We start from the raw sequence: 25,714 nt of genomic DNA on the forward strand, positions 1-25,714 counted from the left end.
TCTCTATGCAAAGCTAGGGCAAACTAAGAAATCACCTGTCTCTGCCTTTTGGAACTAAGAATTCAAATGGATTCAAAATCAATGATAACACTGCCCATGTGCATGGCAACTCACAACACATAACCCACATTCACCTACCTCATCTCTGCCAGTCCTCCACTCTCTTCCTCTCACTGAGGGAGGGAGCGTAACTCCACTGCAGAGAAGAAAACTGAGGTACAGGGAGGGACAAGGACGGACCTGCCCGAGGTCAACCGGTAAATGGTAGAACGAAGATGGGTTTTCTGACTGCAATAACAATTGCTAACACTGTGGTTCCTATGTGCTGTGCCATCTCATAGCCTCTCCCAACTCATTCAATCTTCGCACTCCTATGAGATAGGAGCTATTAGTCACCTCCCTTTACAAATGAAGAAATCAAGGCACAGACAAGGGATGTGAAGTGCCAGGATCGCACAACTAGAGGCAGGACGGATTGAAACTCAGGTGGTTTCTCAAGGACCCACACCCTTGACTTCTCTCTGTGTGATGTACCCTGGCACTGCTGCCTCCTGTCTGTGGCTGAAGTCTGGGTCCAAACCATCCCCAGAAGGACCTAGATAGGGCCCAGGTCACCAGGTGCTGAGTAGGAGGGCAGACCAGGGAATGGGCTCAATCTCCCAATCAACAGAGTAGCAGATGGAAACTGGGGTAGATGCCAGATAATTTTTTTTCCAGACTGGGGGGTAGGGGGGAAGGAAGTAGTACTTAAGACCATCCTCCCCACAAGCCAGCCAACCTGGGGACAAAGGGCCAGGCGAGATGGCAGCCCACTCTCTCGGTTGGCTGCAGGCAGCCAGGGGAGGAGAGAACTAAGCCCATGACTTGAGGCAATAACTTTATAAAGGGAAAGGCAGCTAGACTGTGGGGCAGGCACTATGACCAGAGTTTAGGCATGGACTTTCCTGCCTCAGGCAGCATAGGAAAATCAAGTCAGAATGGTATAGGTGGTGTCAGAGGCCTGCCTGCCTCATTGGAGGCCAAGGCTGGCTCTTGAGCCTGGACCAAGAACAGGGGCACAATTCCCACTCACAGCCAGTGATGGGAAGTGGACCAGCAGAGGAAGCAACACATGTGGATGCTGACACGTCTGATGGGGAGGCACATTCTTGTCCCTCCCTTCTCCATGATTCCACATTCAGGGGAGGGAGGAAGAAATGATGCAGGGCTTCTATCGATAAGAAAAATACCTTGAGAAGGATCACTTCCTGAGCCCCATGGACAGCTGAGGCACAGCCCAATCCAAGAAGGCTCCTTTTGGAATGAAAGAAATGGATACACACAGACCTGAGATTCATGGTCTTGAAGCAGTGGCAGAAGCCCCGGGCAATCCCCCCAACATTCCAACTAAAGCCTCTCACCTTTCAGGGTCCAACTTAACTCATCCTTCCATTCTCCAGAGTTATCTGACCTCCTCCTCAGCCCTGATTCCATGGCTACACATGGCCTTCACAGGAGTGACCCACCTCAAACAAGAGGCCTGTGGGAGATAGAAGGATTCCGTGAGGAGATAACATATGCAGACGTGAGGTCACCCACACACAGTTCACTTCCTTTCACAGATACGATGATCCAAGAATCCCAATTCTTAGGATTAGAAGTAGCTCTCAGAGGGCATTCAATCCCCAACAGCCCCCTCCATGCTAGATCCCACCCCTTCTTTGAGGCCTCAGAGCTTGGTGGCCATTCAGACCTCCTGGCTACTAACAGCAGCAACAATTCCTATTGCCTACCACCATTACTACCTATTGCAGGGGGCAGAGACTTGGAACTGATGAGAACGAGGGGAGTGGGTGGGCTGGGGTCTGCAGAACCCTGTGCTGTCTATAAGGCAATTTCGACTCAGCTCCAGCCCATGGAACCATGAAGAAGTAAACCCAGTAGTGAAAGGTAGTATGATTTTCAAGAGAAGCTGAAAATTGAGGGCTGGGCACGGTGGCTCATGCCTGTAATCCCAGCACTTTGGGAGGCCAAGGCAGGTGGATCACCTGAGGTCAGGAGTTCAAGATCAGCCTGCACAATATGGTGAAACCCCATCTCTACTAAAAAATACAAAAATTAGCCGGGCATGGTAGCGAGCGCCTGTAATTCCAGCTACTTGGGAGGCTGAGGCAGGAAAATCACTTAAACCCAGGAGGCGGAGGTTGCAGTGAACCAAGATCGCACCACTGCACTCCAGCATGGGACACAAGAGTGAAACTCTGTCTCAAAAAAAAAAAAAAGAAAAGAAAAGAAAAAAGAGGCCAGGGGTGGTGGCTCACGGCTGTAATCCCAGAACTTTGGGAGACCGAGGTGGGTGGATCACAAGGTCAATGATTTCTGTCCTAATCATTCTACATGCATTTTTATCTGACAAGGTCAGGAGTTCGAGACCAGCCTGGCCAAAATGGTGAAACCCCATTTCTACTAAAAATGTAAACATTAGCCGGGCATGGTGGCACGCAACTGTAATCCCAGCTACTTGGGAGGCTGAGGCAGGAGAATCACTTGAACCTGGGAGGTGGAGGTTGCAGTGAGCTGAGATTGCGCCATTGCACTCCAGCCTGGGTGACAGGGCGAGACTCCATCAAAAAAAAGAAAAGAAAATTGACTCTTTGTTGAAACTCTCTCTTTTAAAATATTGGCAAATAATTCAAAAGTTAAGGAGGATGGATATGGGCAAATAAAAACAGGTCTGGGGCCCATATCTGGGACCCCCAACATACCATGTGCCCACTGTGACTATCTCACAGGCACAGGCACGACAGTCACTATACCTGGCCCAACTCTTGGCAGACCATGTCAGGCAAGGAGTGCCAAGAAGACACTTCTCAGGCTGCCCAGGCCATGCCTCACCCTCCCCTCAGTGCTCTGCCTGCCTCCAAACCTCAGCCAGGACATTCCCCTCAAGTGCCTGCCTCTTCCTCCTAGACCAGTTCAGAGATCACCACCTTCCATACATCAGTTCAGCCCACTGTGAATGGAGAACTTCTCAGAACTGCCACCACCTTCTTAGCCCTGAGGGTCGTGCTCCCAGCAGCATCCCATGCCTACATCTCTGCTTTCTATCCTAATCATTCTACGTGCATTTTTATCTGATCAACCCTACCTAAATTGCTAAGATCTAAGTAGGGCCAGCCAAGTTAAGTAAGACAAAGGAAAAATCCAAAGAGGAATATTCAGTCAGCAGAGAAGAGACAGATTTTTTTTCCTTCTAGCAGGGCACTCAGCTCACCTGAAAACACTACAGGTCCTGTGCCTTCCACAGACAAATCAGCAACATCCTTAGCCCCAAGCCCCAAACTTGGCCAACGTGGCACTGGGCTTGTGGTGGGAGTGCCACCTGGTGGCCACTCTGGAACAGAGCCGAGTCTTAGCAAAGACCAAGTGCATCTCTGCTCTCTGTTCTAGTCATACATTCTACATGCACTTTTCTGTGATAGACACTCCCCAGACTTTCTGGAGACAAACTTCTCCCTCCCATTCCTATGCCCCTAATCCATCTCTGAGCCTCTATTCTCACTGTCCAAAGCCTGAGGCAGGGCAGAATCTCATGGATGTCACATAGAATCCATCTAGACTAACAAAATCTCCTGACTAGACATGGCTGGGAGGCCAAAGATGAAGTCTCAGCCTGGATACTGACTCAAGCAAGGCCCTGACCCAGTCCAGGCCTCTGTTTCTTTGTGTACAAAATGAGAAAGAAGAGCTAAAACTCCATCTCTTCTCCTGGTCTATCTTCTCTCTGTATCAGAGAGAGACAAAGCTTTCTCATTCCATCTTCTGCATTTCCTTCTATAGGATGAATTAAATATGCTTTTAAATGATGTCGGCCAGGCATGGTGGCTCACGCCTATAATCCCAGCACTTTGGGAGGCCGAGGCAGGTGGATCACCTGAGGTCAGAAATTCAAGACCAGCCTGGCCAACATGGTGAAACCCCGTCCCTACTAAAAATATAAAAATTAGCTGAGGATGGTGTTGTGTGCCTGTAATCCCAGTTACTCAGGAGGCTGAGGCAGGAGAATCACCTGACCTAGGAGGTGGAGGTTACAGTGAGCCGAGAGTGCACCATTGTACTCCAGCCTGGGCAACAAGAGCAAAACTCCATCTCTAAACTAAACTAAACTAAAATAAAATAAAAATAAAGTGATGTCTATAGGAGAGAAGATGTCCCAGGACCCTCCCAGCTCTGATGTGATCCTTGGGCCTGCTGAGGCCACTTCAGTGAGGAGATACACATGCAAAAGGGTGGTTACCCACAAACAGTTCACTTTCTTTCATGAATATAATGATCCAAGAATCTCAATTCCTGGAGTTAGGAGTAGCTGTCAAAGGGGATTCAGTCCTACCTGAGAGCCACTCACAAGACTCCTTATGGTGGCCATGCAGGTTCTGCTTACATACCTCCAGTGATGATGAGCTCCCTCACAAGCCAGCGTTGCCCATCTTGTTTAGCTCTGACACAGAGCTTTCTTCCCCAGTGGAAGACTCCCAAACAGTGGTCCTAAATCTGCCCTCTGAGGCAACAAGGACATGTCTAATCTCTCTTCCTGGAATACGGCCCTTCAGTGATTTCACAGAGGTCACATCCTTCTAAATCGGCTCTTTATTCAGGGTAAATAACTCCAGTTTCAAATAGATCCCTCATGGGGCTTTCCTTGAGAGGCTCTCTAATCCTGGTTGATTTCTAAGACACGATCAGTCCGTCATTTAGCAAACTTTTACTGACCCCTCCTAGGTGCTAAACAGTCCAGATTGTGTCTCTCTCTTTCAAAGATCAGGCCTCAGATCAGAACACAACACCTAGTGTGGAGGCTGAGCAGTAAAGGGCTGAAAGACTAGCTTCCTTCCTCCTTATTCTAGCACCTCTAAAGGCACTCTTAATGGGTTGAGACAACACGTTGTTAAATCCTCTTGATCTCAGCCCAGGGTTATCCCTGGGCCAATTCTCAACCATCAGTAGTGGCTCTCTGGGATGCTCATTTGAGAAAGATTATTGAATCTGGGCCCAGGAGAAGAAATGAGACTCGATTCTGCATAAGAGCAATTAATTTTCTGGTCCCCCTTGGCCGGGCGCGGTGGCTCATGCCTGTAATCCCAGCACTTTGGGAGGCCGAGGTGGGCGGATCACGAGGTCAGGAGATCGAGACCATCCTGGCTAACACGGTGAAACCCCATCTCTACTGAAAATACAAAAAATTAGCTGGGCGTGGTGGCGGGCACCTGTAGTCCCAGCTACTCAGGAGGCTGAGGCAGGAGAATGGTGTGAACCCGGGAGGCAGAGGTTGCCGTGAGCCGAGATTGCACCACTGCACTCCAGCCTGGGTGACAGAGTGAAACTCTGTCTCAAAAAAAAAAAAAAAATTTCTGGTCCCCACTGCAGGACCTTAGACTTTCTTTGCTTCTGTCCTTGTTAGGGTTACTTCATTGTCTGGGCCCTGATGCCATCTAGAACATTCACTGGCCCAGCTCTGAGTGCCTGGCATCTCTGATACACATACTCAATATCCACTTATAGAAATTGAGGGAAAACGTCAAACAAGGCACAACTGACGCTCCAAGAAGTTAGGTCATATGTGGAAAAGCAATCTAAACCTCAATCTGACTTAGAAGCCTAAGTCCCCTCCAAGACCTGAGCTGCCACTCCAAAGGTAAGTGGTTAGGAGACCCTTCGGCCAGCCAGGCACAAGGCCCCAGGTGGGTGCACTGATGGAATCATGCTGACACAATCCCACCCAAGCCCTAGAAAGGCCACTTCCCCAGCATACAGGAAGCACTCCTCTGTACATGGGGCTAATAATATCTAGTTTTCAGAGTCGCTATGAGGATTAACTAAGATGGCACATGTGAGTGCCTAGCTCAATGCCTGGCACAGAGAGGATGCTTGATAAATAAGCACTACTGTGCTGTGTAATGTACTATTAATATTAGCTAGTTTTGCCAAGATAGAGTAGGCCAGTGCCTGGGTTGCCACGAAAGCATTTCTAGCATAGAAGTTGAATTCTATTCCCAGCGATCTCAGAGCCTATGAGAACGAGACAGGCCCAGGCCCAGAGGAACTAGGGGCACAGCTGAACTGACCTGAGCCCAGCCCAGGGCCAGAGGGGACCCCACCTGCTGGAGAGGCTGGGTAAGCAGAAAGAGGGAGGCCTGAATAAACTCCCCAACATCCTCAACAAACACCCAGGGCCAAAGTCTGTGGCAACAGCAACAAGAAGCCACCTCAGGGTAGGGCTCTGTGAGCTTGGTCTGGGGCCCAGGCCAGATGGGACTGAGGCGAGGAGCAGATCTGGGGCCCATGTGCCCAGCAAGCTGTGCCAGCCCAGCCCATACCAGCCCAGCCAAATTTGAGTTATATCAGGAGAACGGATCTGTTAGAAAACTCACCCATCTCTACATATTTGCATATTCTATTTTGGGGTCTTTTCCTTTTTTTCCCTCAGCTTCCTAGAAAAGTTCTTGTGATCACTTCCAACTTCACCTCTGCTGAACTGCAAAAACTCACACTCAATCCCATCTCTCCTCTAACTACTATCCTCTCCCTCACAAGCAAGGTCCCCTGCCCTCTCTGCATCCACTGCCCCTCACCTATTCAGTCCTCAACCCCTGCTATCTGGCTCCGGTTCCATTGGAATGTCTCCCCAAGGTCACCAAGGCACAAGTCAACAAGTCCAAGGTCAGCCCTTCTGTTACTAGGTTTGTCTGTGGCATCTGACCCCACTGAGCATGCCCTCTTTGTCCAGGTCCTTTCACTCCCTCAGCTTTGCTGACTCCTGCTCTCACCTTCCCAGAAGCAGCAGATCCTGCGCCCGTTCCATGCCTCACATCTATCAGTCACCATTTTCTATAAAGCTGAACTCCTTAGTGGGTATCCCTTTTCCTCTACCTTTCTCTGAAAAGCTTAATTGCCTTCTCACATGACACAGGCCCAGTGTTCAACTTAGAACTTCCTGATCACTACCTCAGCCCAAAGACATCCAACTGTCTTTAATTATACACATCCCCACCTGGCTGTCCTATGGCACCTCATTCCAAATTGTCACCCCAGTCCCTTATTCTTACTGCTGCACCACCATCCGCCTGCTCACATCCTGCCTGCCTCCCCACTTTCAGCCCCCAGAGCTAGTCTGTCCTTCACACCTAGCAGCTCCCCTCCACCCAGCTCCCCTGCAGCAGCTCCAGTTGAGGCCCCCTCCATGTCCCATCTGGAGGATCCAGCCAGCCTCCTAGCTGGTCGCCTACCCCATCTCACTTCCCACAAATCCAGCCTCCACACAGCTGTCAGATTATCTCACACACAGATCTGGTCCCCCACTGCCCTGCCTGCAGCTGCCTCAGGGGTGCTCTTTGCCCTCAGGATAAAGCCCTAGCTCCTCAGCCGGATCTAAGCCCTCATCATCTCCCATTCCTCCACACTTCAGAGGCCAAGGGCAGTGGGAGGAAGGGCACCAGCTCTGGAGTAAGACAGACCTGAGTTTCTGGGACCACTTGTCCACTTCCTGCCCATGAGACTGTGGGCAGATGATTTCAACCCTTGGAACCTTGGTGTCCCCATCTGTTCAGTGGAGACAACAGTATACTCGCCTTTCCCAAAGATCTGGTATCAATTCTAACTCCTAAAGCCTCTCTACCTCCTCCTCTCCTTCCCCACTGCCACGCCGTCAGGTCAGCCTACCAGCAGCTCTAAGTGGATCACTGCCACAGCCTCCTCCCCGGCTTCCTCATGCCTGCCCTCCCTCAGTCTTCTACTCCCACTATACTCACCACACAGCAGCCAGAATGACCTTTCTAAAACACACATTGGACTCTCTCCCGATTGCCATTCTGTGACTCCCATTGTCCAGGGTAAGTCTAAATTCCTTACATAGCTTCAAATGATCTAGCCTCTGCCCACCCACTTGCCTTGCAAGCCACCCTGACAAACAGGGCTACAAAAGCCAGGTTTGCTCCCCACTCCCAGCCCCCTCAGTACATATACCTTCGTGCCCAATTCTCCCTTACCCTTCAGGTCTCAGCGTAGTGCCACTTTCTCCATGAAGCTTTCCCTCACCCTCACACCCCCACCCCTAGCCCACGTTAGCCCCCTCTCCTGTGAGCGCCACAGCCCCTAGACTTGCCTCGCCCAGTTCTCATTAGGCTTTAATGCAATCATCTGTTTGTCCATCTTACCAACAACACAGCATTGTCAGAGCAAAGATACCGTCATGTTTATCTGGCAGAGAGTGGAGGCTCAGTCAATGTTTGTTGAAAGGATGAAAGGAGGCCCGGCGCGGTGGCTCATGCCTGTAATCTCAACACTTTAGGGGACCAAGACAGGTGGATCATTTGAGGTCAGGAGTTTGAAACCAGCCTGGCCAACACGGCGAAACCTCATCTCTACTAAAAATACATAAATTAGCTGGCTATGGTGGCACATGCCTGTAGTCGCAGCTACTTGGGAAGCTGAGGCAGGAGCCCAGGAGGTGGAGGTTGCAGTGAGCTGAAATCGTGCCACTGCACCCCAGCCTGGGCGACAGAGCGAGACTCTGTCTCAAAAAAAATAAATTTTTTTAAAAAAAATAATAAAAATAAGAAGAAAGGATGAAAGGGACAATGGTGAGGAAAGAGTCCTTGGCTCATGGAAAGCCCCAGGCTCAGTGGGGGCACTTATCAGACTCAACATAGACTACTCAAAACATGGCCACAGGAAGCAAAGCCAACTTGCCAAGCCCCTGGAGGAAAGAGCCAACAAAGAAGGGAAAGGGAAACCGTGGGGACGGCTCTGTTCTGGGAACTGGTATTGGGGGTTGGTCCAAGGGATAGGGCAGGGTGACCCAAATGTTCTGCAGCATAATGGGATAGGGGAGTTAAGGAACCCCAGCACCTTTGAAGGCAGTCCTCAGAGGCAGGGTGAGAGCTGCCACAGAATGGAAACGAGCTCTGGGCAGGCTGTATCATGGGCACAGGAAGGGCTGTGTCAGCCCCATTTGACCAAGACAGACCCATGAGGATAGGACTGGCCTTTGTTTCCACCACAAACAAGCAAGAGACACTGTGTACAAAGACAGAGCTTCCTGGTCTTTGCTCTCAACCACAAGTAGGCAGCTGGGCTCCAGGCAGACCACTGAGGCACACAGAGGCCTGGCATTGAGAAGCCCAGTTCTGAGTCTTTTCTGTCAATGCACATAGAGAGACTTCTCAAATTTTCTGGAAGAGGCAAAGAATAACATCCTGTTCGGGCCATATCTGGACGTTAAGAGTATCACTGATACACTGGAGGTCATCCAGAAAAACGAACAGGATATGCTGGGAACCAAAACCATGACAGGTCAAAGGGGCAAGTCAATGACCCACCATGGCATTCCGTAAATAACTAAAGCCCTGCTAAGGTAGAAGAGGAAGCAGGCTTGTTCCGAGTGGTTCCTTAGGGCAGAGAGGGGACCAAGGGGTAATGCCCTGGCAAATAGTTAAAGGACAGAATAGGTTGTAAGTGGTAAATCTTTTGTTCCTGGAGGAGACAAGCAGAAACCAAATGACCATGACTGGGAATGGTGGAGATGAAACGCCTGCCAAGGCAGAGGGCAGGAGCACATCTCTGAGCCCCTTTCCACCCATGTTATTCCCAAATGAACCAAAACACCATCTGAGGGGAAGAAGTGTTCTCCCAACGAAGTATTCAAAGCATTTAAAACCCACTTTCTCAACTTGGACATGTCTGCGATGCCGCAGGGAACATCACAGGGAACGCCATGCCAAGGGGAACATGAGTGAGCACAGGCAGATGGAGCAACAGCTTGGGGGTTGGTGCCCTCTCTTCAATATTAAAGCTGAGCCCTGTTCATGTTGGTGTTGTTTTTTAGTATTGCTATTTAACTGCTCTTGTATTTATGCCTTCAGGACAAGGAGGGCCCTACCTCCTGGCGAAGCTCTGAGGCCTGGATTCTGGAATCATTACAGAACAAGCATCAAAAAATGCTTGGTGAGAATAGACTGGTGGGGTGGACAAAGAAATCTGTGGAAGCCATTGAGAGAGAGAGAAATGTGGAAGGCAAGCTGCCTCCATGTGCTTCCCCTGAAAGTCCACCCAGCCACTCCATAGACTGGACATCTCGGAAGCATAAGCCTCTTCTGGGCACAGCTGTAATCCAGCAGCCACCCTGAAGATTGGGTGATAGCTCTGCCTAGACTTCGGCACATCCTGAGGCTCCCAAACTCCAAAGCCCCAGAGAGTCTGGGGGCTACGGCTGGAAACTTCTCCCAGAAGTTAACATGGGTATCTCACAGCATCCCATGATGTAGGGTCTAACATCCTCCATCCAGGGCCCAGAACTAGGGGCCAGCCCTGCTTTGATGCCACAGCATCAAGACCAGCACACCTTGTTTGCCCCACTGCCTCCACCAACTCAGATCAGCCAGAAAGGTCAAGAACTGGACAAAGCAGGAGAGTTGACCATCAGGTATATTGGGGAAGGGAGAGATGGAGGCACCTTCATGAGTGCCTCCCAAGGGCAGTAGCCTCTGCAACTTGCTGGGGGTTCAGGGGAAGCAGGGAGTTCATGGGGCTCCTCCAGCAAAGATGAGCTCCAGGGCTGCTTGGATGTCCCCACCGGTGGCCTGCAGGGCCCGCAGGCTCAGCTCATCGTCCTGGATGCCCATGTCACGTAGCTGCTGCAGCTGGGGCTGCCACTGGCTCTGTGGAAAGATAGGAATGGGCAGAAGCTGTTAGCTGGGATCCAGTGAAGACTCACTTAGGTCTGTGCTTTCCGGGGAAGGAAAGGAAGATGGGGGAGTCCTCAGCAAAGCTGCTGATGCTGAGTTCCACAGAACACGGTGCTTCTAGGAAGACTAAAAGATAGGCTTGAGGGTTAAGAGAACAAATCCAAAGTTTTACAATAAAAAAAGGAAATTCTTGGCATAAGGATCAAAAGAGAATGTACAAATTATTCACTGTCTGAATTCCAAGAGGCTAAATTACTTTCTTTCTCTTGCTATGTGTACACACACAACAGCAAGATTTTGCTCTTTATGTGATGAGTGTTACAGATTTTTTTCCCAGTTTGTTAGCCTTTGGACTTTGCTTCGGTTTTTTGTTTGGTTTGGTTTGCCACGCAGAAATTTTCACCTTTTTTTAAATGTCTTAAATTTTTGTGGTATATAGTAGGTATATCTATTTGTGGACTGTAAGAGATGTTTTAAATTTTTCGCTTTTACAAACCCAAAATGCATAACTTTTATTTAATGGCTCCTGGATACTGAGTTTCAGCCAAGAAAGCCCTTCCCTACTATAAGGATTTGAAGAAATTCACCCATATTTTCTTCTAGTACTTTCATAGCTTCATTAATATCTCTATTTCATGACAGCAGGGATGAGCACAATTTAGGGAAAACAACGTGTTCACATGTGGGAAGAAGGCAATGCAAAGGGGAAGAAAAGCAAAGTCAAAGAGGCAGGCAGTGATGAGAACATGGAGGGCTTAAAAAAAATGCACACAGATCAATTTGAATTCATTTTACAGGCCAGGTGGAACCAGTGAAAGCTTCTGAGCTAGGGAATAAAGTAAACAGGCATCTAGCAACAGGGGAGATGCAAGAATGGAGAAGACAAGTTGTTCACGAATCCTGCTTCTGTTCCCTCACTGTCTACAAGGACCACATGGAACAGTGAAAACCACACAGGCTTGAACCCTATCGTTACGACTTCATGGCCTTATGACCCCAGACAAGTTCCAGGGATGATGCTCTACCCATAGGCTTACTATGTGGAATAGAGGAAAACAGACGTGAACCAAACTGCTCATGCATGGAGCTGTGAACTACAATGCTGGCCCCTCAGGTATTCCACTTAGCTGCTAGGGTGACCTTTCTCCTCCTTAAAGCCTCCCATGGGCCAGGTGTGGTGGCTCACACCTGTAATCCCAGAACTCTGGGAGGCTAAGGTGGGTGAATCGCTTGAGCCCAAGAGTTCAAGACCAGGCTGGGCAACATAGGGAGACCCCCCCATCTCTACAAAAAATACAAAAAATTAGCCAGGCATGGTGGTGCATACCTGTAGTCCCAGCTACCCGGGAGGCTGAGGTGGGAGGATCACCTGAGCCCAGGAAGTTGAGGCTACAGTAAGTTGTGATCACACCACTGTACTCCAGCCTGGGTGACAGAGTGACACCCTGTCTCAATCAATCAATCAATCAATCAATGCCTCCCAGGGATCCCTGGTGACTGCTACATCAAGTCATCAAGTCTAATCTCCGCAGGTTGGCATGCAAGCCCCTCTCGTAGGCTCCTGCTCTTTCTCTGGCCCCATCTGCGGATCTTCTACACTGGACACTGCATCCTAGCCTTGTAGTTTTGAGTATGTCACATATACCTCCACACATGTGCACAAACAGGTAGCTGTCTTCACCTGGAAATCAGCCCCTTCCTACCTCAAACCCCCTTCCCTGGCTAGCTAACTTCTAACTAATTCTTCTGACAATCAGCTTAAATACCCCTCTCTCAGAAAAGTTTTGTCTGACCTAGGCCCTTACTTCAAGCAGCTGGGTTTCTTGCCTTGTTGCTCCCCAGCTCAGTGCCTGCCTGGTGCCCCTCCATGGCAGGGATGAGAACCAGCTTGCCACTAGCCCAGCATCTGGACTCAGGCCTAGTATACACATGCTCAGTCAATGATCACTGAATGAATGAATGAAATGGCCATGATTATCTAAGCCAGGTGGTCTAGGGAGTCAGGCCATGGTCACTAGGGGCAGGAGAAGCCTAGTGACCACTGTGTATGGTCTGAGAGTGTGCCCTTGCTAGGAACACTCTGCACCTGTCCCACTGCCATGCTCCAGCTGTTCCTAGAATGAAGCATGCCAGGTGTGAAGGACCGCCAGAGAGCAAAACAAAGGCTGGGCATCCAAAATAACAAGGAAGCCACATGGAAACCAAGACGTGGGGAAGACTGACCTGAAGGCTGGGCTGCCCAGAGGCCTGAAGGGCATGCTGTAGGGCTTGGCTGAAGAGATCATTGGTGATGGGCGTCCCTGACTGGACACCAGAGGACATTGGTGAGGTCCCTGAGGAATGACCCTAGAGACAAATTAGTGGTCAGTGCCACCCTCAGCGCCATCTCAATCTTATAGCAGATGCTCGCTGTTGTCATATCACCTCACAGCACTCCTGAGGTACCCAACTTCTGCCTCCCAACAAAGACCTGCCATAAGACAACCAAACAAAGGTAACTAGAAGCTCTCTATGTGGGCAGGAAAGGTTCCATTCTCTTCTGCACTGAGCCCCTTGTCCCAGCCTAGGACCCCAGCACTGCAGCACTGGGAGAGATGGCCTTGAAAGCTGAAGTGACTTGTCACCCAGAAATGCTTAAGCTGGTGATGTCTGCTCCCTGTCAGGGATGAGGAAGGGCATATTGTGTGCAGGAAGAGTCTTCTGAACTAATAGGGGGGACTACACGGGACCATGTTAAAATCTAGACTTCTGAGTCCTCAAGGCAAGTGAAGGGGAGGTCACTCAAGCTGCAGTAAGAAATCCCCACCAGGACTCCAGGGTTCAGCTTAAACTAGATCTAGCACCAGGGTCAGCAAAGGCAAATCTACTCTACTGCTGGGGAGCTTGTTCCTTGGGGGCCCAGCCTTGATCTTCCCGGCCCCGTCTTCATACCTGGGTGCCAGGAGTCGGTGTGTGAGAGCTGCTCTCCGGAGTGCTGGCCAGGGCCAAGGCGGTGGCCAGCTCACTCTGGGTGATGGGCCGGGGCCCAGCAGCTCCACTGTACCCCAGGGAGGCTGGGCGGGAGCTGGGAGTACTGCTAGAGGGTGTGGACCTGGTGTTCTGGAGAAAGAAGACACTCAGAATCAGGGAAGCAGTACTGTGAAACTCCCAGATGAACTCCACCCACCTCCAGCAATAGTTCTTGGGGAAACTCTTAAGTTCCCAGGTTCAGAAAGGAATCCAAAAGCAGAAATAGTATGACATGGTCTTGGCCCCCCAATGGCGTATGTCCATCTCCCAGCCTTGGGAGTGCCAGGTCCCAGGATGCAGCTCATTCCCAGCACCATCTCCCCCACATGTCAGCATGTCAGGCAGGCAGGCAGGCCACTTACTGGGTGAAAGTCATCCTCATCATCTGAGAGCCCTTCAAACAGGAAGCCACCTGGAGGAGGACGAACAGATTTCAGGAGGAAGAACAGAAAGGCACAGGCGCAGCTCCAGAATCTCAGCTCAAGTTACTCTCCAAATTCATATTTTCATCTCTCCCCTCGGAAAATTACAGGACAGATGCACTTCCTGACTCAAACCGAGAGTTCCCAAGGAACGCCCTCTGCCAACGCTATACATAGCTGCTGAGTAAAGCAAATTCCTGGGCCACTGCCGGCTCCTGAGGGGCCCACATTACACTTTTCAGGCGCTCACCTGGCATATCCCGGTATGAGCTGGAGGGCATGCTCCGGGAAGAGGAGTCAGTCCCAGGCATTGGGGCACTGCCTGCTACGGAGTGCAGAACCAGGACAATGGCATTGACGAGGGCTGGGTGAGCAGGCACCAACCTAGGATAGAAGCAGGAAGAAACCCAAGGGTGACTCCAAAAGAGCACCCTCAGCCATAACAGGAGTTCTGGGTGCCCCCTCACAACAATGCAGCCACCTGTGCCTGCTCTCAAATTCCTCAGTCTTTAGCATCTTCCACCAGGAAGCTTTATCCTCCTGCTGATCTGCCCCCAGCAACGGGTGCAAGGCCTTCAAATTCCTGGGGTCCGCTGCAGATTCTTCACCCTCTCCACAGGCAAGGCATGATGGGAAAGGTGCAGCCTGGGAGGCTCAGGGTTCTGGCCTGAGCACATGAGGAGTGTCTGGTCTAGGCACCACTACTACATCAGGCAACCCTGGACTGGTCCCTTCTCTTCCCAGGGTGGGGCTGTTTTCTTCACTTGCAAAATGAGGACATGTCCCTTTTAGCTTTGACACTTTACGGATCTGTACACCTGCTTCTCCTTTTGCCAGCTTAAAATCCTTGAAAAGCTCCCTAATTTCTACCACACGAAACCTAAACTGAGCCTGGCAGACAAGACCCTTTCCCTCAGAATCCTGCTTCCTCCCAGCACTCTTGACAAAAGCCCTGCTCTTGGGCTTTGCTCTTTCTCACCCCCTGACGTATCTAAGGGGTAGACTTGGTGACAGACTATGGATGGGCTCCCAGAGCAGACTGCAGGGTGACAATTAGGCTTCTGGCCTGAGCACGAGGAGAGAGAAGGTACCCTCTAATAGGACAGGTACACTTACGTATCAAGCATATTGGGATCAGCGAAGACAGAGAAGAGGTCCTTGTCCTGGAGAACCCCTGAAAAAGAGCAGAGCTCACCTCAAAGAAAGGAAATCAGCCAGATCCAGGAGGGAGAAGAGGCTTTGCGTCTCAGAGCAACCAGCTCAACAGGGACACAGGACAACAAGCCAATCTTCATGAGAAGTAGAGGAAGCAAAGCGCCAAGCAATACAATTCAGGTACTCCTCATCTTGGTCTAGTGAGGATGGTCCCCTGCTCTCCACCTCCCCTGCACTTTAGTCACATCACAGACTGGGTACCAAGACACCTGTCTCTTTCTCCCGTATCTCTGGGTTCTTCCCTTACTCAGGGTGTGCAGGACGCCTTCCCTGATTGCTGTGATGTGGGCTAACTGCTATCCTCATTTGGCATCCTCATACCCTTATTTACGATGTTAGTTAGGCCATTATCTCTCTGTGGGACTGAGAGCTCTTAAAGGGCTGGGGATATCAAACACACCTTGATTACTCTCCCTCTTCCCACAAGACCAGTCATTCTTCAAAAGATAGTCCAAGTCTCTTTAGAGGAATTGTCTTCTCCTGTTTTCTCCTTTTCCGACAACTCCTATTTCCTCAAATTCAGTCCTGCACTTACCAAGAGCAATAGGGTCACTGCTGAGGCCTGGGGTGGCCACAATGATCTGATCCAGAGACTCCTTATTGCTGAGCATCTTAAAGACCTGCAGGAGAAATGGCGGGGGCTGAGCACTCCAACCAGCTCAATGTACTCATCAAATGCCCACACTCTGCCAAAGGACTTCCTCCCTCTAAGTGCTTGCATGTACATCACCACAATGGAACAATAGCCCCAGAAACAGATGAACCTCTTTTTGCTCTAAGATCTTAGCTTACTGGAGGGGAAACAAACAATTTAAAAAAAAAAAAGGCAAGACCACAGTAAACCTTCAAATCTCTGTGCTCCTTTTCCCCACCTACAGTTTAGTGCTTCCAAAATAAAAGCTCTCATTACAAGCCCGGTAACAAAGGTTTCTCTAGGTTCCAATCCAAAAGTCCTTTTCAATCTCTGTACAATTACTATTTCATATTTGTATATATCGCTAAGTTCACAGCTATACTAATTTTGCCTCTCAACTCTCCTACAGAAAGACATCAGCCCACTTCCCCAGTGAGGACATCTAGGTCAAGGGGCAGTAAGCAGGCAGTTCAGCCAAAGTCGAAGAATGAGGCCCAGCAGAAACAGTATGAGGATCTTTTGGCTGTCACCATACGGGCAGGTTGTATTATTATCATTAGAGGGAATCAACAACGCCTGACTGAGACAGGCTCTTTGGGGAAAGACAGGGCTCTACTGAGGCCCACAGACATGGCAAAAACTCCCCAAGGAACTCTTGGTTGCCATGGCAACGGGCTTCCAGCTCCCACTCCACACCACTCGCCAGCCAGCGTTCACACCCTCTCCTACAGTCCTGGCTGGGGGCCGCAGCACACACTCACCGCCTCCCTGTAAGAGGAGCTGCTGTGCAGGGCAGTGTGCAACACCCGGAACTCTCTCATGGCAGCCACTTTGTCCACAGGTTCTGGGGGACAAGACATTCAGAGTTACCCTATAGCGCAGGTCCTGTCTCTGCCACAGACATGGCAACATCATTTCAGCATGTGCCAAGGAGCAGCCTGGTCTGTGCATTCCCTTCCCTCATCACCCCTTAAGAATGTGAGTGCCTGCTCAGAAAAACCCATTTGTGCCATGGATGTGAAAACTGCTAGTAAGCATCTTTACATTCACTTGTAAGCATCTTGCACAGATAAACAAACAAATTCAAGTTGCAGCAGAGGAGACTCTTACCACATGAAAAACGGTGCTCTGATCAACATACCACTGCAGGAATTCTAGACTAATAACATTTGTTTTTTGGTGTTTTTGCCTTTGTTTTTCAGACAGTCTCACCTCTTGCCCAGCCAGAATGCAGTGGCGCAATCTCGGCTCGCTGCAACCTCCACCTCCCTGGTTGAAGCAACTCTCGTGCCTCAGCCTCCTGAGTAGCTGGGATTACAGGTGTGCAACACCACTCCTGGATAATTTTTGTATTTTTAGTTGAGATGGGGTTTCACCATATTGGTCAGGCTGGTCTCAAACTCCTGACCTCAAGTGATCCACACACCTCGGCCTCCCAAAGTGCTAGGATTACAGGCGTGAGCCACCGTGCCCAGCCCTGGGTCACACTTTTTAAAGTATGGTTATCCTCACGAAGGACCACTACTTGTGACTGTACTGACTGTGTACTGCCCAACTCCAGGGCACCACTCCCAAAGCAAGGTGAATAGCACCCCTGGGGTTCAGGGTGGCAGCCACATCCTTATCGACAGTCCTGATCATGAGGCTGTCTTTTGAAAAACAGTCATCTTAAGTAAATTACCTAATTTATTCATTCAACAAACATGTACTAAGCATTTACTCCATGCCTGGCTTTAGGCAAGGAACTAGAATATGAAAAATAAGAACCCCTGCCATCAAGGAACTCTTAGGGCAGGAGGAGAAATGAGACTACATCAAATACACAATTACAAAATGCCACGTTGAAGACCTCAACAGAGACGTGGATCCCAGCTAGGGTACCAGGAACACAAAGGCAGACAGGCACCACTGAGAGGGAGGGTGAAGATAGACAGCTGCCTCCCAGAGGAGACCATTTGAAATGGGTATCAAAGAGAGAGCTGATATTTACTGGGGGGGTGAAGGTATTCCAAGCCTGAATGAGAACATGTGCAAAGGCATGGGAGAATAAAAGAATGTGGTGCTTTGAACAAACAGCAAGTCATTCTTTGTGGCTGGAGCTTGGGGTACACATTCCAGCTCAAACAGCAGGTTAAGGTGACGTCCTGAAGGGATTTGTAACCCGCCATGGAGGACTACCAAAGAGATCCAGGTGGGAAGACAGACAACAATGGGTTCTTCTCCTATAGGCCCTAATCTGTGGGAGAACACAAAATGTGATTCCTTTGTGAAGAAAAGCACTCAAGGAGCAAATATCTAAAACACTGTCACAAAACAGTTTCTTTACAGATCTAAAAGTTTATTGTAACCTTCCAATAAAAAGGTCATTTGTTTCAAAAATAATCCTCCAGGTAGAAGGTGGGAGGAAAAGGACTCTTAATATCTTAAGCCATTATTCAGCTAAGAGCCATGGCTGTCACTGTAAGATCTCTGAGCTAAATTCATCCTTTAGAAGTGGAACGCAGCCAGCCCAGTGGAAATGGTTTTCCTCTTGAGCCAGGAAAACCCCTGGTCCATATCCCAGCTCTTGCATTCACTTTCTAAGTAGCTGACCTTGAATAAATGCCCTAACCCTTTTCTTCCTCCATAAGATGCTAATGCTGTTACCTACCCTGCAGGGCCACTGTAATGATTAAATGAGGTATAAAAGGGAAAAAACCTGGCTCACAGAAGCCACAAATGTTATTTTCCTTCTGTTAATGCCCTCCAGCCAAAGAGCTGAGGGGCATATCTGTATTTAAACAAGTTGGGTTTACTGCTCAGTACAGAGAGAAGAATGCACACCACAGGAAACCGTGGGCTGTCTCAGTAAGAGGATATTAGAAAGGACTTTTTTTTTTTTGAGACAGAGTTTCGCTCTTGTTGCCCAGGCTGGAATACAATGGCGTGATCTCGGCTCATTGCAACCTCTGCCTCTTGGGTTCAACCGATTCTCCTGCGTCAGCCTCTCAAGTAGCTGGGATTACAAGCAGGCACCACCATGCCTGGCTAATTTTGTATTTTTAGTATAGACGGGGTTTCTCCATGTTGGTCAGGCTTGTCTCGAACTCCCAATCTCAGGTGATCCGCCCACCTCGGCCTCCCAAAGTTCTGGGATTACAGGCGTAAGCTGCTGCACCCGGCCAGAAAGGACTTCTTACAGGATTTTGGTTTTGTCTGGCTGATTTGGGGAAAAATTTAAAGAAGTGAGGTTTTACTCTGGATAGGATGCTTTCAGGCAGTGGGAGTGATTTTATAATTGAGTATCTTAATAACTCTTACCTAGAAGGAAGGAAAACTAGAGCAAGGTGGAAGCTGTAATTGGCCAAGAAGCAGCTGTTACTCTCATCAGCCAAGATAGAAAGATACTTGGTCACCTTTGTGGTTTGGATAATGCTCATGTTTTTGTGTTTCTGTTCAGCAATAATAGGGATCTTGTTTTTGTCTTAATCCATAGTGGTCTCAGAGTGGCCTTGACTGCTACTGGGGATCTGTACAATTGTTCATGATCCCCAAAAGGATTCCAGGGCCTGGCTGTGAGTGCCAGGCCAACCTCTGGATGTCAGGAACTCTGTTCCTCTTTCTCACTTCCCATCAGGGTATGAAAGACATTTTTGTCTTTTACAGTTAGAACTGAAAGGGGGGTAAATTTCAAACTGATAACTAGTCACAGCAATCATGAACATTATAAAAAGATGTCAACCTGCCAGTGTAACAAAGCTAATCTCTTTTACACAGCTTAGCTTTATTCTTAGGGAGGCTTTTAAAACACACATGCAAAATTTAAATCATGAATTCCAAGCACCTTCTATTTATAAACCAAAAAGGCATCTGAGGCTTTGTATATTTTCTCCAAGAGCTATTTAAATACTCTTTGAATATCTTCAGGAAAATACCAGTATAGCAAGAGCAGTTAGCTAACTGAACAAATCACCACCTGAGGCAGTTTGTAGGAAGATTTGTTAACAAGGGAATAAACTGCAGCATTAGGAAAGTGCCAAAAGTTTCCAGCTTTTTTCTAATGAGAACAACGATAATAACAAAAGGATACAAAGTTTACTTTGTATCACTAAAAAATAAACTGTTAACTTAAAGGAGTTTAAGTAGACACAAACTCCCTGTCCCATTAGGAAACAGTGGATGACAAACTTAGAAAGTGGAGAAACAAGCCAGGAATGGTGCCTGTACTTTGGGAGGCTGAGGTGGGGTGGATGGCTTGAGGTCAGGAGTTCGAGACCAGGTTGACCAACATGGAGACACCCCGTCTCTACTAAAAATACAAAAATTGAAGGCCGGGTACAGTGGCTCACGCCTTTAATCCCAGCACTTTGGGAGGCCGAGGCGGGCAGATCACAAGGTCAGGAGATCGAGACCATCCTGGCTAACACGGTGAAACCCCGTCTCTACTAAAAAACACAAAAAAAATTAGCCAGGCTTGGTGGTGGGCGCCTGTAGTCCCAGCTACCTGGGAGGCTGAGGCAGGAGAATGGTGTGAACCCGGGAGGCGGAGCTTGCAGTGAGCCAAGATCACACCACTGCACTCCAGCCTGTGAGACAGAGTGAGACTCCGTCTCAGAAAAAAAAAAAAAAAAAAAATTAGCTGGGCATGGTGACTCATGCCTGTAATCCCAGCTACTCGGGAGGCTGAGGCATGAGAATCACTTGAACCTGGGAGGCGGAGGTTGCAGTGATCCAAGATCAAGATTGTGCCACTGCACTCCAGCCTGGGCAACAGAGTGAGACTGTCTCAAAAAAACCAAAAAACAAAAAACAAAATGGAGAAACAAATCTTCCATTAGTGATGCCGGCAGTAAGAAGGTCAAAATTGGACTCTGTTTATCAGCATGGTCTAATCCAATAAGTAATAAAGATATCATTTATCATCAGCTCAGTAAATCATCCCTTTGTTCCACCCAGGCTTGTGCCTCAAGAACACACAGATCCTTCCCTTGCGGATATTACAGAAACTCTGCCTGCCTAAGGGCTGCCCCTCACTCACCCGGTTTCTGATCAGGTTCAGGCCAGGACTTTCGCAGAACATGGACAGTGGACCCAGGTTGAATGCCATAGAAGTCAAGTGTCTGGTCATCTTTTAGCTTCCGACCACAGTAGATCAGATCTAAAAAAAGAACTGTCCACTTATATTTTGCTCCTCAAAACAAATTTACATGGTTTTTGTCCCGAGAACCTTATTTTGATTAGATAGCTGGAGAATGATACATGTTTTAAAAGATACTCTTATTCAATAACTTAACAAATACTTTTTTTTTTTTGGAAAACAGGGTCTTACTCTGTTGCCCAGGCTTGAGTGCAATGGCACCATCACGGTTCACTGCAGCCTCAACCTCCTGGGGTCAAGCAATTCTCCCACCTTAGCCTCCTGAGTAGCTGGGACTACAGGCACATGCCACCACACCCAGCTAATTTTTGTAGTTTTTTGTAGAGACGGGGTTTTGCCATGTTGCCTAGACTAGTCTCTTAACTCCTGGGCTCAAGGGATCCTCCTGCCTTAGCCTCACAAAGTGCTGGGATGACAGGCGTGAACCACCATGCCTAGCCAATTAAATACATTTCAACAACTATTTGCAAATATAAACTCATAAAATGGACTTACATCGAATCTGGCCAGATGTGGTGGCTCACACCTATAAACCCAGCACTTTTGGAGCCTGGCCGACATGGCGAAACCTGGGCCATGGCGAAAATTAGGGCCGGGCACGGTGGCTCACACCTGTAATCCCAACACTTTGGGAGGCCGAGGTGGGTGGATCACCTGAGGTCAGGAGTTCAAGGCCAGCCTGGCCAAGATGGTAAACCTCGTCTCTACCAAAAATACAAAAATTAGCCAGGCATGGTGGCAGACGCCTGTAATCCCTGCTACTCAGGAGGCTGAAGCAGGAGAATTGCTTGAACCCAGGAGGCGGAGGTTGCAGTGAGCCAAGATCACACCACTGCACTCCAGCCTGGGCAACAGAGCAAGACTCTGTCTCAAAAAAAAAGAAATATATATATATATACACACATACACACAAAAATTAGCCAGTTGTGGTTGTGCGGGCCTGTAATCCCAGTTATTCAGGAGGCTGAGGCAGGAAAATTGCCTGAACCTGGGAGACAGAGGTTACAATGAGCTGAGATCTCGCCACTGCACTCCAGCCTGGGCAACAGAGCAAGACTCCGTCTCAAAAAAAAAAAAAAAAAAAAAGGATTCACACAGAATCTATCCACAGAAAAACTCTGGAGTTTAACATTGTGGAGGCTGCCCAATTTAAATCAATGGAAAAACAACAAAATAGGATGAACCCAATCCAGGTATGACTGAAAACATCTTTCTTGCCAGTTGGATCCTTTAGCTATTAAAAATTACCTTTTCAGTGTAATTTAATTATATTTAAATTCCTCCCTCCTCCACCTGGACTGCCCACGCCACTTTTTCTTTTTTACTGCCTTTCCTTTACTCAGTCAACCAAGCAAAAATCCTTCTAATCATCCCTGAAGACCTACCTCAAATATACTGAGGAGCCTCCCCTGACCAACTTCTCCTTTCCTAACTCATCCCAAACTTCTGTTCTTTCAGAAAAAGAATTCACAATGTTGGCCAGGAGCGGTGGCTCATGCCTGTAATCCCAGCATTTTGGGAGGCTGAGGCGGGCAGAATCACAAGGTTAGGAGTTCAAGACCAGCCTGGCCAACATGGTGAAATCCCATGTCTCTACTAAAAATACAAAAATTAGCTGGGCATGGTGGTGTGTGCCTGTAATCCCAGCTACTCGGGAGGCTGAGGCAGAATTGCTTGAACTGGGACCCAGGAGACAGAGGTTGCAGTGAGCCGAGATCGCACCACTGCACTCCAGCCTGGGCTACACAGCAAAACAAAAACAAAAACAAAAAACAAGACAATGTCATAAAGAACCTGGTGATAAGGTAGTTCAGTATAATACATGGCTGAAATGGCAACCAATAGTTTCATTATATGATTTGTGTTTCTATTTACCCAACATTCACTTCCCTGGAGTGTTAACATTATGAGGCAACAAATCCCAAGCCCTTACTTTACTCTTGTAATTCCAGAAGTATCCTCCCCCAAAAGAGATCAGAGCAGCAGCCCAACCCCAGTCCAGAGAGACTCACCAATCAGCTCAGGGTCTGGAACAGACTCCTGGAGTTTGCCAGCAATAAGCTGCTTCAGAAATGAAATACTATAGCCCCCTAGCGAGTATTCTCCCAGTTCTGTCTCTGGCAACCGAAGAATAGACTTTGGAGTAAGTGGCTGGTCAGCCAGCTTCACCGCCAGGTGCCAGTCTGAGAGAGACATCCTCTCTCTTTCGCGCTCTCTCTTTCTCCCTGTAAAAGAACAAAACCTCAGTGGTTAAAAGACAGACCACCACTCTACTCCACCCCCACCCACCAAAGGGTTGAATGAAAGACAATTCAATGTGACACTGTTGAAGAGGCATAGGGCGTACCATCAGGAGGCCAGAACTAGAATCTGGGGTTCTCTCTCTACTCATACTGTGATGGACAGCTCTCTAGGCCTCAGTTTCTTCATCCCTAACGTGGACATAAAAACGCCATCCAATCTAATAGGAATGTTGTGAGAGAGATCATCTAACCCTCTCCCTTCTGTATGCCCCTTTTTCCAATTTTCTTCAACTGTTGCTTGAACCAGTAGAACAGCTTTATAACAAGTTCCCTGCCTCTTGCCTCTCCCTATCAAATATCTATGCTGCCACCTAACAACACCCATCATTTTTTTTTTTTTTTTTGAGACGGAGTCTCGCTCTGTTGCCCAGGCTGGAGTGCAGCGGCGCGATCTCGGCTCACTGCAAGCTCCACCTCCCAGGTTCACGCCATTCTCCTGCCTTCCTGCCTCAGCCTCCCAGGTAGCAGGGACTACAGGCACCCGCCACGACGCCAGGCTAATTTTTTTTTTTTTTTGTACTTTTAGTAGAGACGGGGTTTCACTGTGTTAGCCAGGATGGTCTCGATCTCCTGACCTCGTGATCCACCTGCCTCGGCCTCCCAAAGTGCTGGGATTACAGGCATGAGCGACTGCGCCTGGCCACAACCCATCATTCTAAAACACAGATCTGACCAAGTCACTTCTCTGCTTAGAACTCTTCCAATGTCGGGCTGGGCGCGGTGGCTCATGCCTGTAACCCTAGCACTTTGAGAGGCCTAGGCGGGCGGATTGCCTAAGCTCAAGAGTTCAAGACCAGCCTGGCCAACATGGTGAAACCCGTCACTACTAAAAATACAAAAATTAGCTGGGCGTGGTAGTGCGCACCTGTAGTGCCACCTACTCGGAAGGCTGAGGTTGCAGTGAGCCAAGATCACGTCACTGCACTCCAGCCTGGGTGACAGAGAGAGACTCTGTCGCAAAAAAAAAAAAAAAAAAAAAAAAAAAAGCCAGACGCGGTGGCTCACACCTGTAATCCTGTCACTTTGGGAGGCCGCGGAGGACGGATCACTTAAGATCAGGTGTTTGAAACCAGCCTGGCCAACATGGTGAAACTACATCTCTACTATAATAGAAAAAATTTGCAGGGCGTGGTGGCAGGCGCTTGTAATCCCAGCTACTTGAGAGGCTGAGGCAGGAGAATTGCTTGAACCCGGGAGGTGGAGGTTGCAGTGAGCCGAGATAGCGCCACTGCACTCCAGCTTGGGCGACAGAGACTCCGTCCCTCCCTGCCCCACCCCGGCCCCCCAGAAAAAGACCTCTTCCAATACCTCTAAACCATCTATATAAATTAAGTCTAAACTTCATCGCCTGGCTTACAAAACTCCCTGCCAGCCTCATTCCCCAACAGAGCCCTACCCCTGCAAAGGACCTCCACAACATGTAAGTACACACTCATAACAAAGCTCTCCCCTATTTTACACCTCTGCTCATCTAACTCTGCATGTAATTTCTCTTCCCTTTTTGGCCTTTTAGCAAACTCCTACCGAAACCAACACAGATTCAATAACCTCAGTCCCCTCTCTTTCCTCTGTTGTTCCCACATCCCCTCAGAACAAAAGGGCTACAAATATCTGCTTGCCCCCTCCTCCACCCCAATTCTTGAATGCCCTTGAAAACAAAAGACTAAAGTTTTCTTCATCCTTGTCCCCATACCTGGCATACATGGAACCCCAGAAAATAAATCAGAAACTCTGACGGCGGAAGAATCTTGCAAAGCAAGATAAGTTCTTGTTATAGTCATCATTATTGCTTCCAAAGAGACCTCTGATAGAGAAGAGGAAAGAAAAGGCTGTGAAGCTGCCTAGCAGACCTTCAAGCATCCTCAAGGTATCTTCCACCTCAAGTTTATGCCAGAAGGAGGTCGTTTTATATACCATGTCTCACTTAATCCTCACAACGGTTCCCTAAGGCAGGCATTAGCCACATTTTAAAGATGAGGGAAGCAAGACTCAGTAAAATCACTGGCCCAAGGTCACAGATCGCTAGTAATGGGGCAGGAACACTATCCGGTGGCGACCTCACCGCTCCAGTGGGACCAGCTACTTGGCTGACACACATCGAGCCCGCGCTGCCCAGGGCCCCAGCGCCCTCACCCGTCCCGCGGAAGGAACCCGGCCGCACTGCCGCCGGTGTAAACACTCACTCTGGCCCTCTCGCCGGAAACCGGAAATTCCGCGCTGCATTCTGGGAGTTGCAGTTCCCGCTGTGGCCCCCCGCCCCCTTATAAACAGCCAGT

At 48.9% G+C, this 25,714-nt stretch overlaps 1 protein-coding gene across 7 annotated transcripts, besides 10 other annotated features; it reads right to left on the reverse strand.

Annotated features, from left to right (window-relative positions):
- Window positions 6,246-6,755: an enhancer, noted in NCBI's record as "H3K27ac-H3K4me1 hESC enhancer chr15:74734123-74734632 (GRCh37/hg19 assembly coordinates)". NCBI's record gives its function as "activates a minimal SCP1, AML or CMV promoter by ChIP-STARR-seq in naive H9 embryonic stem cells {active_cell/tissue: H9 hESC(naive)}" and the evidence as "EXISTENCE:reporter gene assay evidence [ECO:0000049][PMID:30033119]".
- Window positions 7,122-7,306: a silencer, noted in NCBI's record as "fragment chr15:74734999-74735183 (GRCh37/hg19 assembly coordinates)". NCBI's record gives its function as "represses an EF-1alpha promoter that drives an FKBP-Casp9 reporter gene in an ReSE screen in HepG2 liver carcinoma cells {active_cell/tissue: HepG2}" and the evidence as "EXISTENCE:reporter gene assay evidence [ECO:0000049][PMID:32094911]".
- Window positions 7,268-7,777: an enhancer, noted in NCBI's record as "H3K27ac-H3K4me1 hESC enhancer chr15:74735145-74735654 (GRCh37/hg19 assembly coordinates)". NCBI's record gives its function as "activates a minimal SCP1, AML or CMV promoter by ChIP-STARR-seq in primed H9 embryonic stem cells {active_cell/tissue: H9 hESC(primed)}" and the evidence as "EXISTENCE:reporter gene assay evidence [ECO:0000049][PMID:30033119]".
- Window positions 10,441-25,652, reverse strand: UBL7 (ubiquitin like 7). 7 transcript variants are annotated; one of them, NM_001286739.2, is made up of 12 exons: window positions 25,572-25,624; window positions 23,483-23,567; window positions 23,148-23,360; window positions 21,016-21,135; window positions 16,760-16,842; window positions 15,900-15,984; window positions 15,266-15,323; window positions 14,400-14,533; window positions 14,090-14,139; window positions 13,650-13,817; window positions 12,942-13,064; window positions 10,441-10,691 (listed from the first exon to the last, which is right to left on the reverse strand). In NM_001286739.2, exons 3-12 carry the CDS (start codon window positions 23,329-23,331, stop codon window positions 10,554-10,556), a joined length of 1,143 nt encoding a protein of 380 aa, NP_001273668.1. In that variant the 5' UTR covers window positions 23,332-23,360; window positions 23,483-23,567; window positions 25,572-25,624; the 3' UTR covers window positions 10,441-10,553. The 7 variants fall into 7 exon arrangements, with proteins under 7 accessions (NP_001273668.1, NP_001273671.1, XP_011520426.1 ...); NM_001286742.2 differs by lacking the exon at window positions 23,483-23,567 and adding an exon at window positions 25,132-25,242 and having other exon boundaries at window positions 25,501-25,624; XM_011522124.3 differs by lacking the exon at window positions 23,483-23,567 and adding an exon at window positions 25,132-25,242 and having other exon boundaries at window positions 25,353-25,624.
- Window positions 13,951-14,451: an enhancer, noted in NCBI's record as "H3K27ac hESC enhancer chr15:74741828-74742328 (GRCh37/hg19 assembly coordinates)". NCBI's record gives its function as "activates a minimal SCP1, AML or CMV promoter by ChIP-STARR-seq in naive H9 embryonic stem cells {active_cell/tissue: H9 hESC(naive)}" and the evidence as "EXISTENCE:reporter gene assay evidence [ECO:0000049][PMID:30033119]".
- Window positions 18,905-18,954: an enhancer, noted in NCBI's record as "active region_9776". NCBI's record gives its function as "activates an Ori minimal core promoter by ATAC-STARR-seq in GM12878 lymphoblastoid cells {active_cell/tissue: GM12878}" and the evidence as "EXISTENCE:reporter gene assay evidence [ECO:0000049][PMID:35858748]".
- Window positions 23,670-24,189: an enhancer, noted in NCBI's record as "H3K4me1 hESC enhancer chr15:74751547-74752066 (GRCh37/hg19 assembly coordinates)". NCBI's record gives its function as "activates a minimal SCP1, AML or CMV promoter by ChIP-STARR-seq in naive H9 embryonic stem cells {active_cell/tissue: H9 hESC(naive)}" and the evidence as "EXISTENCE:reporter gene assay evidence [ECO:0000049][PMID:30033119]".
- Window positions 24,190-24,709: an enhancer, noted in NCBI's record as "H3K4me1 hESC enhancer chr15:74752067-74752586 (GRCh37/hg19 assembly coordinates)". NCBI's record gives its function as "activates a minimal SCP1, AML or CMV promoter by ChIP-STARR-seq in naive H9 embryonic stem cells {active_cell/tissue: H9 hESC(naive)}" and the evidence as "EXISTENCE:reporter gene assay evidence [ECO:0000049][PMID:30033119]".
- Window positions 24,865-25,711: an enhancer, noted in NCBI's record as "H3K27ac hESC enhancer chr15:74752742-74753588 (GRCh37/hg19 assembly coordinates)". NCBI's record gives its function as "activates a minimal SCP1, AML or CMV promoter by ChIP-STARR-seq in naive H9 embryonic stem cells {active_cell/tissue: H9 hESC(naive)}" and the evidence as "EXISTENCE:reporter gene assay evidence [ECO:0000049][PMID:30033119]".
- Window positions 25,166-25,255: an enhancer, noted in NCBI's record as "active region_9777". NCBI's record gives its function as "activates an Ori minimal core promoter by ATAC-STARR-seq in GM12878 lymphoblastoid cells {active_cell/tissue: GM12878}" and the evidence as "EXISTENCE:reporter gene assay evidence [ECO:0000049][PMID:35858748]".
- Window positions 25,546-25,695: an enhancer, noted in NCBI's record as "active region_9778". NCBI's record gives its function as "activates an Ori minimal core promoter by ATAC-STARR-seq in GM12878 lymphoblastoid cells {active_cell/tissue: GM12878}" and the evidence as "EXISTENCE:reporter gene assay evidence [ECO:0000049][PMID:35858748]".

This window comes from Homo sapiens, chromosome 15, assembly GCF_000001405.40.
Source record: "Homo sapiens chromosome 15, GRCh38.p14 Primary Assembly".
Lineage (NCBI taxonomy): Eukaryota > Metazoa > Chordata > Mammalia > Primates > Hominidae > Homo > Homo sapiens.

Excerpts from the sequence above, each read along its gene's own strand:
- UBL7 (NM_001286742.2), bottom strand. The coding sequence starts at position 25,222 with ATGATGACTATAACAAGAACTTATCTTGCTTTGCAAGATTCTTCCGCC. Across the intron at positions 23,361-25,131 it reads TGGGGTTCCATGTATGCCAG|GGAGAAAGAGAGAGCGCGAA; the intron begins GTATGGGGACAA and ends GTTCTTTTACAG. Across the intron at positions 15,324-15,899 it reads CAGTGACCCTATTGCTCTTG|GGGTTCTCCAGGACAAGGAC; the intron begins GTAAGTGCAGGA and ends GCTCTTTTTCAG.